The 18,329-nt window shown below is 47.2% G+C and overlaps 1 protein-coding gene across 34 annotated transcripts in view, besides 1 other annotated feature; it reads right to left on the reverse strand.

Annotated features, from left to right (window-relative positions):
• The window catches only part of MTSS1 (MTSS I-BAR domain containing 1), a 177,690-nt gene continuing 159,867 nt past the window's right edge, over positions 507–18,329 (reverse strand). For 6 of the 34 annotated variants that reach the window (XM_006716701.3, XM_005251111.3, XM_011517403.2 and 3 more), the window contains 7 exons: positions 18,102–18,259; positions 16,794–16,901; positions 15,385–15,482; positions 12,505–12,715; positions 7,404–7,598; positions 5,465–6,128; positions 507–3,415 (listed from right to left, as the gene is read on the reverse strand). In XM_006716701.3, coding sequence (XP_006716764.1) covers positions 2,715–3,415; positions 5,465–6,128; positions 7,404–7,598; positions 12,505–12,715; positions 15,385–15,482; positions 16,794–16,901; positions 18,102–18,259 — 2,135 coding nt within the window. In that variant the 3' untranslated portion in view covers positions 507–2,714. Of the gene's footprint in view, positions 3,416–5,464; positions 6,129–7,403; positions 7,599–8,435; positions 8,556–12,504; positions 12,716–15,384; positions 15,483–16,793; positions 16,902–18,101; positions 18,260–18,329 lie in introns of all 34 variants that reach the window. The other 28 variants (NM_014751.6, NM_001282971.2, XM_047422491.1 and 25 more) reach the window with 16 other exon arrangements.
• Positions 11,699–11,788: a silencer, noted in NCBI's record as "silent region_19514". NCBI's record gives its function as "represses an Ori minimal core promoter by ATAC-STARR-seq in GM12878 lymphoblastoid cells {active_cell/tissue: GM12878}" and the evidence as "EXISTENCE:reporter gene assay evidence [ECO:0000049][PMID:35858748]".

Below are 18,329 nucleotides of genomic sequence, written 5' to 3' on the forward strand. Positions count from 1 at the left end.
AGATTTCACTAATGGAACTTAGTTTTTATTAGAAGAACAACTCTCCCTAAGAAGTACATAGTCAACAAATAAGCATGGAATTTGTGGAGTTCTGTCAGGGGTGGAGGTTTGATGGTTGGGGTTAAATGGTCCAATCTGGGATAAAACTTTGTGGCGCTTATTTTAGAAGCAGTTTTCCAGCTTTGCTTCTGCTACCGTAGCTTGGATTGTCTGCGGACTCAAAGGTAAGGGAATAACAGAACTCCTTAAATGTTTCAGAAGCTTTGTTTTTGTTTTTTAAAGATAAAGCAGTTTTTAAAACTTTCAACCCAAAACAGCTGCTTTTAGTTCTTGATCCCTCATTAGCTAGAACTGTTTTCAAATAGTTTCAGGCAACTAATGATCTTATAGCCATCACAAAAATATTTTGTCACTTTTCTACGTAAGCTCAATTTGAGTCCCAGTCCATCTTCTAACATTTGACTAAGACCTCAAACTGAATTGTAACAAGACTTGAAATACAGGACTTTTTTAATCTAGTGGTTCTTTATTTATAACGTAGGCTGAAGCAATTGTTACAATGTAGGAGGGAGACACATTACACAATTGTTATTTATACAAGTTTAGAACAAAAAACTGCACAGGGAGAGGTCAACTCTCAGTACAAACTAGCAACTAAAGCACAATAATTTACTGTTAGAAACGATTTCTTTCTTTTTAGCTGTGACACTGCTTTTACAATATGCAAAAACACAAGCAGAACTACCCAAGGTGTGTTGTCACATTCTTTCTACATTGAATTTGGCAACATTTTATTTATTCAGATTATACTAACGTTTAAAAACTAAACAAGTGAAAAGCTGTACCAAGGTACAGTTACATCCATTTATTTCAAAGGTTTAAAATACCACTTTTATCTATTGTGATTACCTTGCAGCGATTTCTGCTTTTGCAAAAACCATCTCAAGCATCATATGCACAATGCATCAGCTACTTTTAGTCATCAAGATTGGTGGGCTAAACCACAGGCACTACTGTTGTTTATATTCTGTAAAAGGAGCTTGTTTTTCAAAGAAAAAAGCTTAAATAGTTTCTAATAATCATGCCTTTGCTTTAAAGCCGTAACATAAAATGTCCTTGAGCAATCGCAGCAGTGTTCAATGTTAATATATAGAACAATGACCATACGGTACGTTACTCTCACATCCAATGCAGTTATGTGTTAAAGCATAAGATTAGGTAATTGAGGGTTAGAGCCAACAGGAATCTGCAGGGTGTATGAAACCCACCAAACTCCTCCTCTGCCTTGAGAGGGTTCGGTCAGAAATGTGCCCTGTTATGACCTGACTGCTAAGGGACTTGCTTGCTTTCTTAAACACTATTGTCTTCAAATGTGATCCCTTTAAATCTACAAATCTCTGTTGGCTTTAGGGGATGGGCAGTATAACAAATTTAACTTCCACTTAGAAAAGACAAATCTTTTCCAAAAAACATTTACCCAGAATACAAAAAAAGGACAGTATAGTGGTCAGATTCCCAGTGACAATAAACAAATCCTCCTCTCTTCAATGTTTACTGTAAAGCCAGTTAACTGCCATTTATTTGAAAGAAGAAAAGAAAAACAAGCCCCCAGATTGGTAAACACATTGGCAAGTTGCTAGACTCCAAGCTGGCTACCCTTGTCAAATCTGTTCGAGTTTTTTCAAAATACTTGGGCTTTTTAACGCACCCAGCCTGCTGGGCACAGTTAAGTAAAAGGCATTTACTATAATCTAAGAATTCCCTGCTATTATCATTTTTAAATGTTTTCACATTTTTAAAACTGCCTTACCCTTTTGGATGTATTTGGATTCCATAAAGGTGAGTACAATCAACGAGAAACTGAAGTGGGAGATTCTACGACTGCCCAGAGGCAGCAGCATGCATGGGGCTGGTTGTGGGTGCTGTGTGCAGTCCAGAGGAATCATGGGAGAAAGGAAGTCAAGTCCTTAAACACCCTACAGAAACAAACACTGCAATCCAGTATGGCTTATTCGGATGCATTTACCATGAAGCTACCAGAAGAAATTCAACCTACGAGGCTACTCTTAAATGTAACAGGATCGGCTATGTTGACGATGTACCCCTCCCATGGCCCTCCCCCCAATCCCAACACAGTCTACCATTTCCAGATTTACTTCACTCTGAATATTGCTCATCAATTGTTACTCCTGCTCTTTTCATCCAGAACATAGTATATTTAAATGAAGATTTTACCTCTTACCCATTTAGTTTGTACATTAAAATAACTTGCATTTGCTTCTAAGCTAGACTACTACAATGCATCTACAAAAGCTTGTGGGGAAAAAAAAAGAAGAGTGAAGTATAGTAAATCCTTTTCTAAAATTAACTACTTCGTGGTTCCCCTGCCCCAACCCCCTTTATGCATTTAAAATTTTACAAAGACTTGTAAAAAAGTTAAATGGAATTTGGCACCTTCAGAAAAATCAAAAGGGAAACTAAGATTAAAATGTGCAGAAAGAAAATTGTCAATATTTACAAATTAAAAGATCAAGATTATGTCAGTTACATAGGTTGGTTTTAATTCTTATCTAAAGGTGTCGAGTACTTTCAAAAGAGCTATATTCCGAGTTGCCTACAAAATCTTTTGTTTTATTATAGAGTGGAATGGATCAAGACAAATTAGGTTTTATTAATGAAACAGTTCATTCCCCACCGGCGCATTTCTTGTGAACCTAAGAAAAGCGAGGGGCTGAGCGATCGTTTGTCGTGGTCTTCTTCAGTTTCACGCCCCTTCGGATGGCGTTCAGCATGTCTTCTCCTTGTGGAGTATCCCTTGGGCTCAGGTCTGCAGGGTCACTCTCTGGAATCTGGCCTGGGGAGACAGTGGCACTTGGGGGTTCCCGTTCCTGGTCTTCAGCTTCACTTTCTGGAATTGCCTGTCTGTGCTCCTCAGGGATACTGGGCTTCGGGCCTGGAAGTGGAGGGTTAACGGAAGCTTGGCCGCTCCACATTGAGGAGGGCATGCTGGTGACACCTTGGGGGCCCTCACCCACAGATGGCGACTCAGGGCTGTGCTCCCCCCGCTCTTCTGGCCCATCTGGAGGGGCTGGCAACACCCCTGGGAGGTCTGGGACGGTTGGGGTCTTGACAGGGATCACGGGTGTCTTGATGGGGATGGGACCAGCTCCAATGGTTCCCCGGCGGACAGAAGGCTTGGTGGAAGGGGTCCGTCGGATAGTTGCAACCCCTGGAGTGACCATAGCAGGTCCCAGGGTGGTGGGGAGGCCAGCAGTTGAGGCTGGACGCTTGGCTTGGAACATCCGTCGGTAGGACTGGCTGATGTCGCTGTTTCTTGGAATGGTGGAGGACTTGTCGAACTCCTGCTGATCTGCCTCCTGGTCACCACTTACAGAGAAATAATCATAATCTGAAACTGATTATAGGATTTGATTAGACATATTCAAGACAGCAGCTGTGCTTTTTTGATTCTTCTGGGCTGGGAGGACAAAAGGCACGCAAGGCAGGGTACACACACAGTCTCATCCCAAGCTTCCCCCAGGCTTCTCTACCATCTTCAGAAAGCCTCACCAACTAAGAACTCCGTGGCAGGGATCTTTGCTTTGTTCACTGATGTGTCCCAAGTACCTAGAACAGTGCTGGACACGGTAGGCACTCAAATATCGTCAATGGGGAAGAAGGTAAAGCTGCTAGGCTGCAGCGAAGCTACCTGCAAGCGTCTCTGGGAGGAATAAGGGGGATGAAAGAAGACAAATTCTCCAGTCCAGAACTCAACGTGAAGATCAAACCTCAAATAGACTAGCCTAGGCTATAACATCTCCCTGATAATTAACTGGAGAGGCAAGGGCTAGACAAAGAACAAAGCTACTGACAGTGAGTCCCTGACAATAAGGGACAAAGACAGTTTCCATCAGTGTCATGTGCTCACTTCCTTGTAAGACCAATCTCAGGATGATGTGGGAGCTTACAGATTAAACAGCTCACAGCCCTGATTCTGAACCACCGTACTATTGATAATTTGGGCTGGATAGTTCTTTGTTATGGAGGACGTGGTGGGGAGGGGCCGTGCTGTGTATTCTGGGATGTTTAAGCAATATCCCTGCCCTGTGCCCACTAGATGCCAATAGTACCCCTCCAGTTGTGACAACCAGAAATGTCTACAGACATTGCCAGATGTCCCCTGGGGAATAAAATCACCCTCCAATAAGACTCACTGTCTTAGAGGTTTTGAATGATGAATGGCATAGCTTTTGGTCAATTATCATAGATATATTCTAGCTGTTAGATTTTCATCTTGCCTGACTTGTGTGTGCAGTGGACTTGAGGATGAAGGAGGCAGGTTTGATAGAGGATTTGGCTGGAATAGGTTAAGAACTTGGGCATTACACTCTAACACACTTAGGTTCAAACTCCAGTTCTACTTATTGGTTGTGTGAATATGAGCGAGTTATTGAGCCTTAATTTCCACTTCTGTAAAATAGGGGTGAAAATACCTACCCCATAAGTGGCTGTAAAGATTAAATGAGAAAATAACCATAAAGTGTGTAGTGCAAAGTGCTAAAACAAAAATGAAGCTATTCCTTTGAGACAGGGTCTCATTTTGTTGCCCAGGCTGGAGTGCAGTGATGCAGTCATGGATCACTGCAGCCTCGACTTCCCAGGCTCAAGCAGTCCTCCCACCTCAGCCTCCAGAGTAGCTGGGACCACAGGTGTGTGCTGCTACACCTGGCTAATTTTTGTATTTTCTGTAGAGACAAGAGTTTTGCCATGTTTCCCAGACTGGTCTCGAACTTCTGCAGCTCAAGCAATCTGCTCACCTCAAAGTCCCAAAATGTTGAGATTACAGGCGTAAGCCACTGCCCTGGCCTGAAGCTATTCTTATTACAGCACATGTCTCCATTCAAATTGGAGACTGCTGTATATGATGCTGCAAAACGCAAAAAGCTGTGAAAGTCCAGATCCCTTTATTTATTATTATTTTTTTTTGAGACAGAGTCTTGCTCTGTCACCCGGGCTGGAGTGCAGTGGCGCGATCTCAGCTCACTGCAAGCTCTGCCTCCTGGGTTCACGCCATTCTCCTGCCTCAGCCTCCTGAGTAGCTGGGACTACAGGCGCCTGCCACCACGCCCGGCTAATTTTTTTGTATTTTTAGTAGAGATGGGGTTTCACCATGTTAGCCAGGATAGTCTCGATCTCCTGACCTCGTGATCCACCTGCCTTGGCCTCCCAAAGTGCTGGGATTACAGGCGTGAGCCACTGCGCCCGACCCCAGATCCCTTTCTTATATGGCAGCTACCTGACAACTACAGATGAGCTCCCCAAAGCATTCCCAGATGACGAAAACAATCCTGACACCTGTTAGTTAGCGAGTGGTGGGTTGTGGTTAAAATGGACCAGCAGTTTTCTATCTCCTCACCTGGTGCTGCTCAGAAAGCCTAAGTGCACACCCCAGGCTGCCTCGTACCTTGGGAAGGGATGGTGTCCTCAGAGCAGCAGGGGGTGGTTGTCTGGGTGCTGTAGCCGCTGGAGCACTGAAGCGAGTCCCGGCTGCTCCTCTGGGTGTCCAGCTGCAGGCCCCGAGACAGGGCCAGGGCCAGCTCCTCACAAGCCTCCATCTCCTCACCAGGCTGCAGGTTGGAGGAGAGAAATACACAGGTTGCTTTAGGGGGGGGGCTCAACAGCACTCCTGTTCTGCCCCCGTGAGCACTACATGTCTGTGGGGCCAGGGGGCTATTGACTTGCTTGGGTCCCACTCTGACCCTAGAAAGTTCTGCCTCTCTCATTCCCACACAAGGTTTTTTTCCCAGGGACTTTGCTGTAGAGCAGGAAGTCAGGGAATGGAGCCCAGGTCCCTCCAGCTGCAAGGCTGCCTTGGCCCCCCAGTTGCTGGCCAGAATGTGATCCCCAGCCAGGCTGAGGTGGCCCCAACCAGCTACTGAGAACAAGAGCATCACCCTGGTGGCAGCCGATACAGTCATGCTCCGTGGTCTCTGAGCCTCCTCAGCTGCTGCAGGTGGGCCGCTGGCGGTAGTGGGTCCTCCCCCGTTGGGGTCCGGTTCTCGCTTCTCTTTGCGGCGCTGCAGGGTGTTCACCAGAGGCTGGTCATAGGGCCCAGGCTTAGCCCAGTCCTATGCAAAACAAGTGCGGTCAGGAGCCAGGGCCTCTGCCTCCACTGGAGGGCTGCGGGGACCCCATAGACAGCTCCCCAGAGAAGGCAGCTGGTCCCCTTAAGGGGAACCTCCGGCTGGGACAAGCCACAGGCCCTCTGCATGCCCTCTCCAGGCTCTAAAGGGCAAGGAATGGAAACCCTTTGGGAGCCCCCTGTGTACCTCCCTTTTCCTCGTCTCTGCCCAAAGATTAAAAACCCTCACCCACCAGGTGGCAGCAGGAGACCCGGCAGCCACCTAACAGGTGACCGGTGTAAGCTAAGGGGACCCACCAGTGGGCAGTACATCGTGCTTCTCCTGTCTGAAGGGACCAGCGCTCCTTAACAACCCAGATGGCTTCCCGTTAGGGGAATGGCCACCAGCGAGCACTAAAGCAACATCAGCCCTTCTCCCTCCATTCCCAGGAAACCAGCCTCAAAGGGCATGGCAGGCTCCCTGCCCTCTCAAGCCCTCAGAAGGAAAGGAAGGCGCCCAGGGGCAGTAGAAAGATTCCGAGAAGCCTTGAGAGGCCCACACCGCCTGTGAGGGCTAAAGTCAAAACCTGCTTAAAACGCTGGCAGCCAAGGGGCCTACTTTTCAAATTAGGGTCCTCCTCTCAAAAGAGAGCAGATTATCCTCCTGGAGGAGCATTGATCGGACTTGCTAGGGGATCATTTTCAAAGTTCGTCTTTATATTAAAGCAAACATGTTTGAACACTCAAGACTAAAACTAAAGTCTGCGTGTACTGTTAAGTTCAACATGATCACCCCAAACCTGCTTTGGGTTATGGTTCTGTTACCACAGCCCAGCAGGGAGCTCATTAGGGAAAATGGGAAACATGGCCAGAAGGAAAGTCCCCCCTAAACCCCCTAGAAGCTCTGATCATGCTGACACCCTCAGGTGGCCCCCGGGAGGGACCAACCCATAGATTTCAACTTGATGCAAAACTGGGCCTTTGGACTTGGAATTGCCGCTGCCTGCGGTGCACACTGCACTGCCGTCCATCAGGGATTGACCAAAGTCCCCTGAAGGAAGACCCTCAGCCCCAGCTACCTGTGGAAATTGCTGTCTTAGAGCTGCCGGCTGCTTTCTGCTTCTCCCCCAATGGGAGTTTCCTGAGGGAGAGGCATTATGGGGAAGAAGGCAGAGTGTGAAAGGAAGGGGATGAGGGGATAGTCGGGGTGAGGGGGTTGGAACAGAAGAGGGGTGAGCACAGAGGCAATGACGGGGAGAGGAGGAGGGGGAGAGACACAAACCTTCCAGCTAGGGATCTGAGATGACGGGAACATGCCGGGCCCAATGGTGTAATAATGAGCGTAGTCTGGAAGGTGGACAGAGGTGACCCGAGGGAGCAGGCGGGAGGCAGGCAGGCAATGAGGGAAAAGGCCTGCACCCGTGGGCCCCACGTGGGACTCACTTGATAAACTATAGTGAGAAAACCCGTTAGACAACTGGAAACAAACAAAAAAAGGGGGGGGGAAGGAAAAAAAATTAATATAACAGGATGAGTGCGGAGATACAAAATGGCATTGACATTCAAGGGAGGGGAAACCTGAATATTTATAAATAAAACAAACATTGGGGCTCTGCTGCTCACGGATGATCTGTGATGCAAGAGAAAAGAGCCGGGGTGCAAAGAATGCACATGAGTTTGACAGCAAATAAGCATCTATGTTTGACCTACGTTTTAGAAGTTTGGAAATTGATCAGTGCCCTCAATTTGTGGCCTTGTCAATGGTTTTTGATAATGTAACTAATGAAGCCTCATTTAATGGTGATAGTGATTTGCTCATTTCATTATGCAAATTTAAAAATTCCAAAGCATCTTCAAATGAATCTGTTCATTCTAGGTTTCCAAAATCATCGCATTGCTCAGGAGCACATTCTCAATCAAGGGCAGGGGGGTGGGGGTGCAAACTAAAAAGCGGAAAAGCACACAGCCTCTGACACAGTGACATGGCTCATCCAACGGTCTGGTGGGTGGCTCGGGAAGGGAGGGAGGAGGATGGACAGGCACGCAACACCTGGTCTGGGAGAAAGCCTTCACACCTCCAAATTCCCCATACCCCTTCCTCTCCCTTGAGACAACCATGTGGTCATTGTCCAGCAGCCAGGCACTCATTCTAGAAAATGCCCTCAGCCTTGTCCCACCCTCTGTCCCCAAGAGGAGCCCCACTCTTGGTGTCGATTCTGAGCTTCCAGGTTGCCGCGGCTGTGAGGGCTGTCTGAGCAGCAGGCAGGGGGACCAGGGAGAGTGGGGCCGCTGTGGCTGCCACCCGGGCGGTCACCTTCTCTGTGGACACCCAGGCACCCATGGTGGAGCCCGAGCTGACAGAGGTGGGGGAGCTGCACTCGCTCACTGACTGGCAGGTTTCCGAGGCTTCGGAGGAGGCCGAGCTGGACGAGTTCTGCAGCAGGGGAGGGGCCACACGAGGGGACCAACAGAAACCGAGCCACACACCACCAAAATATAATAAATAAAAAAAGGAATGGGGATGGGAGTGGGGAAGGGCACACACAGAGAGAAAGAGACAGACATATACACAGAAGAGGGGAGGATGAGAGAAGCAGAGGGTTAGGGTTACTTTTCCCCCAAAGTTGCATCCATGCAGAGGCTTTCGAGCCCTTGAAAAGAAGCGTGCGACCCGGCCAGCCCTAGGTCACTAGACTGTGGGTCCCCAAGGACACGGATTTGTGTGTCTTTTGCTGGGACCCAGAAGCATGCCTGGCACCGAAATATCTGGTCATGGCATTGGGACTTCGTGCTCTCTTGGGTGTTTCTTCACGTGCCACAGGCCCAGGTCCCCAGGGAGGCCCCGCCTGTCACCTCTCTTATGTGCATAGGTGTTATTTATTGCATGAGGGCGGACCCCAGCTCGGGCTTTTGCTACATGTCTGCCTGGAATGGCTCGACTTCCTGGAGTCTCCTTTCATCAAATGCAGCCTGTGGATCCATGAGGGGTGGTTTCCAGCTATGAAGCCTCATCAAGACAGACTTTTAGGTTTCTCATCCTGGAGTGTGATTTTGGGGTTTGGGGCAGTGAAGCCCTCTGGTCAGCACAATGTTTCTGGTGGCCATTGTGGGGTGGAATGAACCATCTCTGGAGAGGTCTCATTTGGGAAACCATCGCTTTACACTGATCTGATGGAACCCCAGGTCCCTGCTGGAGTCCTAGTCAGCCACGGCATGCGCTCCCAGTCTGGCTTCCTGATGTTCAGCTGGGGCAGGGACTGTTCCTATGATCTCACCTACACCCAAGTTTCTTCTAGTTCTGGACCTGGCACATGGCTGGTGCTCAAAACATAATGAATGAGTGACAATGATCATCTCTGTCACGTAAGTTGGGTCTCCTGGGCACTGCTTTGCATCCATCCAGGTACTTGCTTTAAATTTTTTCACTGTTAACTGCAATCTCTGGCTTAACCTCAGTTTGTTTAAATAAGCTGACTCCTCTCTATTGTAATTTATCTGAAAGTGTTCCTGTATTCACCATCAAGGAGGCCAGAATCATATTTCTGTCCCTTTCACCTACAAAAGAAAGGTCCCTACAAAGGAACAGAGATTTCGCTTTCCTGTCCTGTAAGGGCAAGGAGACAATCAGACACTCAACAATGTGTGGGGCTCAGTGGACCCAAAGCAAGGAGAGACTCCACGGTGGACGGACATCCCAGCTGCACTCTGAGCTCAGTGTCTGGTTAGCAGCCCAGGATTTGAAGATGGAAGGTTTGGATTTAAGTCACATTTGTGCCAATTCCCAGTCGAGAAACTGAACTTAAAAAATTTGAGGTTTAGAGGGCTTTATCAACAAAAAACAGCCAGATGTGGTGGCTCATGCCTGTAATCCTGGCACTTTGGGAGGCCAAGGCAGGAAGACTGCTTGAGGCTAGGAATTGGAGAACAGCCTGGGCAAGATAGCAAGACCTCATCTCTACAAAAAATAAAAAATGTAAAAGAGGAAAGGAGTGAGGGTTGAAAAATTGCCTATCAGAGACAATGCTCACTATTTGGGTAATGGAAATAGAAGCCCAATCCTCACCAGTATGCAAGGCACATGTATTCTCAAATCTAAAATAAAATTAGCCAAGCATGGTGGCACATGCCTATAGTCCCAGCTACTTGGTAGGCTGAGGTAGGAGAATTGCCTGAATCCAGGAGTTCAAGGTTACAGTGACCTATGATCCCGCCACTGCACTTCATCCTGGGCAACAGAGTGAGACCCTGTCTCAAAAAAAACGAACAAAAATAAAACAACAAAACAGTAACCCACCGCAGGACTGCAGGTTCAGATTTCTTTGGAATTATGCTCATTTTTTATAAAGAACCTCTTGACTCAGATGGAATAAATGGCTCTAGGGTGAGACCCTCATTGAAGACATGGCCCCACTCCTGGGCACAGATGGGTGAGGGCACAATTTGAAGAGTGGAGGGAGGTAAACCAGAGAATTCTGAACAAATTCCATCACTCGGCTTTCATCTCAGACCTGTGTTACTCAGTAGAGAAATGAAGGGCTCCTGCGCCTCCTAGATGTATGCCCCCTTTCTCCCTAATAAAGGGGAGGTTACTGCCTTCAGGAGATTGTACCCTCTGGCTAATGTGATCTGTACAATGACCTTCAATTTCCCCTTTACCTTATAATAATAAGCAGTCGTAATGCCTTTCTTAAAAAATAAGAATTCTCTATTAAGTTTTGTAGCATCCCTGAGCTCATTAAAACTACCCTAGTGGCCGGGCGCGGTGGCTCATGCCTGTAATTCCAGAATTTTGGGAGACCGAGGTGGGCGGATCACCTGAGGTCAGCCTGACCAGCCTGGCAAAAGCCCACCTCTACTAAAAATACAAAAGTTAGCTGGGAATGGTGGCGCGTGCCTGTAATCCCAGCTACTTGGGAGGCTGAGGCAGGAGAATCGCTTGAACCCAGGAGGTGGAGGTTACAGTGAGCCAACATTGCACCACTGCACTCCAGCCTGGGGTGACAAAGCGAGACTGTCTTAAAAACATAACATGACAAAACAAAAAGCTACCCTAGAGTTGCTAGCCACGCATGTCTTGGGCACAGGTTTTCAGATTTAAGTAAACCCAATATGCCCTCTTCTGCTTCCCTCCATGCCATGGGAAACACTCTGTTCTACCCCATCCACACTCACAGTCTTGGAAGGGAAGGCTGCAGCACGTGGCTTCTCCTTTTCAGAAAGGGGCGTCAGTGCACACTACTATGTTAATTTGTCAATTAAACACACACACACAATTATGCTGCACACTAGAACAGCCCGGAGGAACTGCACATTCCAGCCCTCCTCCCGACCCTTTGCCCTCTCTGCTTGTGAGCAGCACATATGGTTTAGTGAAGCACACAGCGGGGAAGAGGAGCTCCTTACAGACCAAGCCAAGCACCCCAGGTGGGACACGCACTCTCAAGCACTCTCAAACTATAGCCGTGGCTCTTGGCTCTGAGTGCGTTTAAAATTGAGTGTGTATCCAAGGAAGGCAGACAGAGGCCACAGTCCCCAGGATGGCTGAAAAATGCTAATGGGAGCGCTGAGCTGTGAGGAGAGGAACGCAGAGCTCTGACATGGGTTTCCCAGCAGGTGGGGCTGTGGGGCACCCAGCATTCTGTATGTAGAGCTACTTGCCAAGTTCAAGGCCGACACCAACCCAATGACACTAAGGGAGAGAGGACAGAGAGAGGATCACATACATTGATGATGCACATGAAGAGTGTTCAGATGCCCTGGCCAGCTCCTGCGTTCTGCTCCAGCTGGAACCACTGGGCTGGGCTGGGCCTAGCACCATTAAACCCAGCTGTAGTTGAAGAGATTCTGCCACACCTTCCCTTCCAGAATCTAAGTGCCAACAGAATTATGTGCAGAAGCTCTGATGATTCATTCTCATTCTCAACACAGATTGATAAAAGGAACCTGAGAGCGCCAAGGGATGGTATCGGAAGCGCTATTCAACCATAGAATCTCAGCCATTCAGGGAGAACCTGAGATGTGGGGGAGGAGGTGTCCCCATTGTGCAATGCCCTTTAATTATAGCATTTAATTATGCCAAGCTGGGCACTTACAGGGACGCCTGAGAGTGGTCAAACCTCTTTCAATCCATCTACTTACGTGAGAGCTCCCCAAATCGATGTGGTAATGCAACCATTACCACCATGGAGACAGGCTTCAAACCCACTTATAGCACCTCTCCCTTTAGGGGAACAATACATCTAAAGATGAGAAATTAAACCAGAGGTTTCTCAAGTCAGTGGGCAGGGGATTGTCTAAGCCAAGGTGCTTCTTTGGTTCTGGCCACTGACAGTGGTCAGGACACCAGGTGTGACAGCTGCTCCTGGAGCCAAGGGCACCCTTACCTGGTTGGGGGCCTCTGGCGGCATGGGGGATGGTGACTTGGACTGGAAGGCATCCTGGGATATGAATCCTGAGTCATGGGAGGACACGCTGGACAGCCTCACAGGAGCCTGCTGGGCCAGGTTGGAGCTGCGGTAGCGGTAATGTGAGCTGGGGGAATGCGAGTGGGAGCCGCTGGACCGGGAGTCACTGCTGTTGACACTGTTCAGGCTGCTGTGGAGGACAAGCAGGGGTGAGGGGTGGGCACGGAAGGTAAAGAAAGGGGAGCAGTGGTAAGAGGAAGGAGGAAGGAGGGGAACAGATGAGGCAGAAGAGAGAGAAGCACAACATAATGCAATTAGCTCTCTGCCCTGGAGATGCAGTGCAAACCACAAAACACGTTTTCAAAACACCAAATCATGAAGGTAGTCAACAAAATGCTTTTCCAGGTGACCCAGGGGGAAATACAGCTGCCAGGACTCAGGTCTCCGATGGTAACCATGTGGCATTCTTACGAGGGAGGTCTGGGGTTCTAAAACGTCAAGTGCGCCCAACTCTGCTGCTTCGCCTACCACCAAAACGAGGGGAGCTGATGTCAGTAGCAAGAAAAGGGACAGGGTTAATCTGCCTGCAGGAACCATGAGCCTGCAGCAAAAGTCCACTGGGGCTTCAGCATGACTGGAATGTTCTTGGATGGACCATCTGGGTCCACATGACCAAGGCCAACCCAGCTAAGCACTGCCGATGGATTTGCTGAGGTGATTTCATCCTAGCTGAGTCTGGTCAAGCCCGCTGTCAAGAACATCAGCAAATCAACTCACTATGTTGGTGTGCATATGTTTTACCTTTTAACAAAGTGATGCTTTAATTAATGTTTTTACTCTGACCCCAGCTGTTTCTGTGTTAAAATATCTGTGGGTCTGGCACAATAGCACACTTGGCAAGAGGCAGGCAGCTTTCAGCGACTAAGGGCAATCAATGCTCAGCTGTTTGCTCTTGAAATGGCACAGTAAACAGGATGTCAAATAATGACACACCCGCTCTGGATTTCTGTCTGCCTTCCATCTCCACTCAAAAGAAACATGCTCCTGGCCAGGTGCGGTGGCTTACGCCTGTAATCCCAACACTTCAGAAGGCCAAAGCGGGTGGATCACCTGAAGTCAGGAGTTCAAGACTAGCCTGGCCAATACGGTGAAACCCCGCCTCTGATAAAAATACAAAACTTAGCCAGGCATGGTGGCAGGCACCTATAATCGCAGCTACTTGGGAGGCCAAGGCAGGAGAATCACTTGAACCCAGGAGGCAGAAGTTGCAGCGAGCTGAGATTATGCCACTGCACTCCACCTGGACAACAGAACGAGACCCGATCTCAAAAAAAAAAAAAAAAAAAAAATGCTCCACACTCTGTATAGTAACTTAGATCATAAAAAGCAGAAAACAGACTCCCATGGTCCAAACAAACGGAGCTGAAATAAAAAGAGCAGTTGTAGAGGCAGCAGCAGGGATGAAGTAAATAACTAGGGCTGGGATAGGAAAAGTCATGGTTTCTGCTCCTAAGCCTGCAAGAGACTCTGGCTTGCAAAATCTGGCAGCTAATAAGGTACTCAAGGGCCGCGTGACTGTTCTACACTAGAATTACTTGGTGCAAATGTTCAGACAGACATAGGGGAGCGTGCTGGAGGAAATCGCTGCAGTGAGGAATAAATATCATGATTTTTGACTTTCCCCTCCAGTCAGCCAGAAGGCGGCAGTTGGGGACCGACAGTAAAGCTCACAGCAACTCCACCCCGGCAGCCTCAGAGTTGCAGATGTCAGTGCAACATGGTTTTCTACTCAAACTAAAATTATAAGGAAGAAAAAAACAGCCACGCAACTTTGTTTTACACTAATGAGAGATTTTTCTTGGCAACAATAAAAAGGTCTCTCTTTCACTCACACACACACACACACACACACACACAGTCGACAGAAGATAAGAAACAAACCAATATCTTCAGGGGGCAGAATGTCCAGGATGCAGCGTCTTAGGTCTGAACTTCCTGCTAAGTGTGTAGTGTACAAGCTCCGCAGTGAAAGGAAATAGGCATCAGCGTGCACCAAAACATCACCACAGACAGATTGAGCAGATACATCCTGCCCTCTACTCTCAGTGCTAATACACAGGAAGTGGAAACTCATTTGGCTTTGAAAGTTAAATTAAAAGAGTAACAGGACTACTATACCAAGAGAGATAGATGGTACATCATGCTTCCATCTTTCAAGGAGAGGAAAAGAAACTTTCCTACTCGGCAAGCCAAGAACTGACTTCTAACAGAAAATTGCTAGACAACAGTTTTGCAGATGGCAGAACTATTCCAACAGATTTTGTTCCAATAGGGAACAGTACTAATTAATACAGGTGTGGTCGTGGTAGTGGTGGTAGTAGTAGCAGTGACTGACAGAGCAAGAACTCTATTTACTTTATGAAACCCTGAAACAAAAATATGGGGTGAAATGAGGGCATAAGCCATTGTTACTTCCTTCGTTTGTTCTGGCAACAGTGAGATCAGCCTGTGTAAAAATCAACCCAGGTTCACCATTTTTTAGGCCTTAGAAGGTTTTCACTCTGCTAAACAGGAAAATCAAATGTGATCTCATAGAATAGGAAAATCCCTACAACATACAAGTGAGAGAGAATAAGCTACATCCACAAGTCAAGGGCTAATGGGGTTTTCTTTCTGATCCAAAATTAATCCAGAGACTAAAGAGCAAGACCAAAATTATTACCATTCTTTCAGCTCATCATCCCATTTCCTGTTTGAGAATGAGCCATTCTAAGAGATAAGGACTGGCTCCATTGCTCACATTAGCATAAAGAAAAATGACCCGTCCTGAAAGCAAGAGTGGACCCCGGCTTCACTCACCTGCAGACACTGGACTTTCTGGACATGGTGGTGCTGGGGGAAGAGGGTGGCGTCTGATACGACCAGCTGTAATCAGAACCTTTCAAGTCCAGAATCACCTAAGGGGACAGAGCCAGCTGGGTGAATGAGGTGCTGAGAGGGGAAGCGTTAGCCATCAAAGCTTAACATCCACCAAAGCATCAAAACGCTGCCATCGTGGGGGTGGGAATGAAAGCAAAACATGTTAAAAAAATTTTTTTTAAATTGAAGAGCCACAGTACCAAATCCATCAATATCATAATCCTTTTACTGAGAAAGTAAAACTATAATTAATAGGGAGAAGGAAAGGAAGGGAAAAGGAAAATCATGAAATATCAGTCGAGAGAGGGAGAAATACAGTGACCAATTAATAATTTATAACAGCCATTTATACCCAAGGCTAGAATTTACAGGATTTTCCTCTTGTAATGCCATAAAGTTAATCATGGTTCCCAGACTTGTTGGTAGCGCATTTTAACCACTTGATATTCAGTGGTCATTTCTGCCCTATTTGACCAGCACTAGAAATTTTAAAGCCTGACAGAATCAAGAACAAGCCAATTCTTTCACCATTATTTCTATATCTGTCTCCGTTGCTTGACAAAGGACCACATGAGTATAAGGTCCACCTTTCATTCACATAAGAAGCACTCAGTAAATGTTTATTTGTCAAGTGAATGCATGCATGCTCTGGTCTAATAAATATAATTTGATAGAATAGAAAACATGAGCTCCCAAATTTGCCCTCTGAGCCAGCTCTCCAAGGAGACGAAAAGATTGTTACCAAGCACAAAAGCCAGCATGTGATTCATCAGTTCCCCCAAATATGTCTCTTCCCATAGTGTGCGTGTGATGTGAATTAAATGAATAAAGCATAAAAATGTCATCTTTTTCATAAGATGAGAGAGCTCTCCATGCATTGCTCAATTAGAATGGGAGAAATGGAGAATGGTTGACAGTGTCAATCAAAACACACCAGCGACGTGTTCTTAGGAGGGTTGACTTCTAGAGGGCAGATGAACACAGCAATTAAGTGCATGGGATCTGGAACCTGACCAACTTGGTTCAAATATCAGTTCCACTACCTGCTAGCTAGCTGAACCTGGCTAAGTGACTCCATCTCTCAGTGCCTCTGCATCATTCTCTATAAAACAAGCATAATCATGAAGATGAATGGAGGAAGTCAGGCTATGTAAAGAGCTTGGGACAGTGCCTGACACACAATAGGTTCTATGTAACAGCTCGCTGTGGTGATTTCATATATTACATCATGAAGGACGTGGTGAATATGACTACAATTTAAGACGTGACACATGCCACAGGAACACTCAGGGCCTTGAGCTTTTACCTCTTTGGTTTGATCCTGTAAGTGCTTAACCCCTGAAGCCTACCTGTTCACTTGAGGAGGGCAGTTTGTGAGGGTCCATGGTCAGGCTTTTTAGATCTTCCGAGATGGTCTGAAGGTGGGTTATTTCCCCTAGCATTGAGATTTCTTCTTCCTGAAGGAAAAGTCATTCATGAAATGTTATTATCATGAGTGATTCCCTTCATCGCTCTAGTCCAATTGTTTTCATTAGGGTCTCTGTATAACCCTTTCAGTTTTTCAGAAAAGGCACTGTTGGGACTGGCAAATCTTTGCTGAAGGCACTACATGCCTTTTCTTTTGGGAAATGAGATGGAAAAAGAAATCTGCCATAATGGAGGAGTGACCTGTGCACAGGGGACAGTGGGGAACACACAGGCCTCCCTCCCAGGGCCTGGGGGACTGCCAGGCCTGCTCAGATGGTCTGACTGTGTGTTCCCACGGGATCCTGCAGCACAGCCCTCTTCATACTGTGGCCCTTTTCTGAAGTTGCTTAGCTTCAATGGATGACACGACTTGGATATATTTTGGTCCAGATCTTTGTGACAGTGCCTGTGTGTTCAACAGAAGCTAACTTTTCCCCTTCTTTCTTGTGCTTTTCCAGCAACTTAGTAAAAGACAAGTAAGACAGGAGCTGGGGACCATGGAAGAAACATCCCATGTGCTTTATCGAAGTGCCAAGTTGGGACCACGGGCCGGGCTAGAACGATCCATGGAAAAGTTCTGTGCTCAGGGGAACAACTCAAATTCAGACATTTTGCTAGGGCTAAGGGAAATGAGCTGGTACCTTCGAATCAGCTTCCAGAACGCCTGCAGTGCAAGTTCTCAATTACGGCATGCAAATGATTTCCTTAAAAATTAAGTCTAAATTGATTCATTGAGGCTCTTGGATATTCATCTCATGGTCACCCCTTAGTACTCGGCTACAACAGTGAGTCTCAAAACCACCTGGAGTGCTCCTTTAAAACACAGACGACTGGGTCCCCACCCCCAGAGGTTTGGACTTGGTGGGTCTGGGTTGGGCCCAAGAACTTGCATTTCTAGCCAGTTCCCACGTGATGCTGCTGACCTGGGGACCTCACTTTGAGAACCACCCTGCTGGGCCTTCTTGACTTGGTGAGACAAAGTAACGGGGAACAAGTGGTACTAGAACAGTGAATGAGGAGTGAGCTACATGGCCATCAACTTGCACTGAATCGCTGGTCTGTACAGGAGATACCACCATCATGATTCCTGACAGTAGATTCTCCATGACTCAACAGTGGATGGATAAAATTAGAAGGAAGCCACCTCTACACCAGCAGTTTAAACCTTCTGGAGTTTTCCATTAACTTACAATCACTGGCCGCAGCATAGAGATGAAGGTACAGAATCGGCCACGTTCTTCAATCAAAGCCTTCCGGACAGCCTGCTTTTCTGTTTCTTCCAATAAGAGATACTTATCATTGACATCTTGGAGAGCACTGTCCAACTGAGGCTGGATATCACCTCTCCCTGCAAAAAACAGAGACCCAAGCACGGCTTGCTGAAATACCAGCTTCTGGAACAAGTGCCCCTCCTCCCT

The sequence above is a fragment of the Homo sapiens genome, chromosome 8 (genome assembly GCF_000001405.40).
Source record: "Homo sapiens chromosome 8, GRCh38.p14 Primary Assembly".
NCBI lineage: Eukaryota > Metazoa > Chordata > Mammalia > Primates > Hominidae > Homo > Homo sapiens.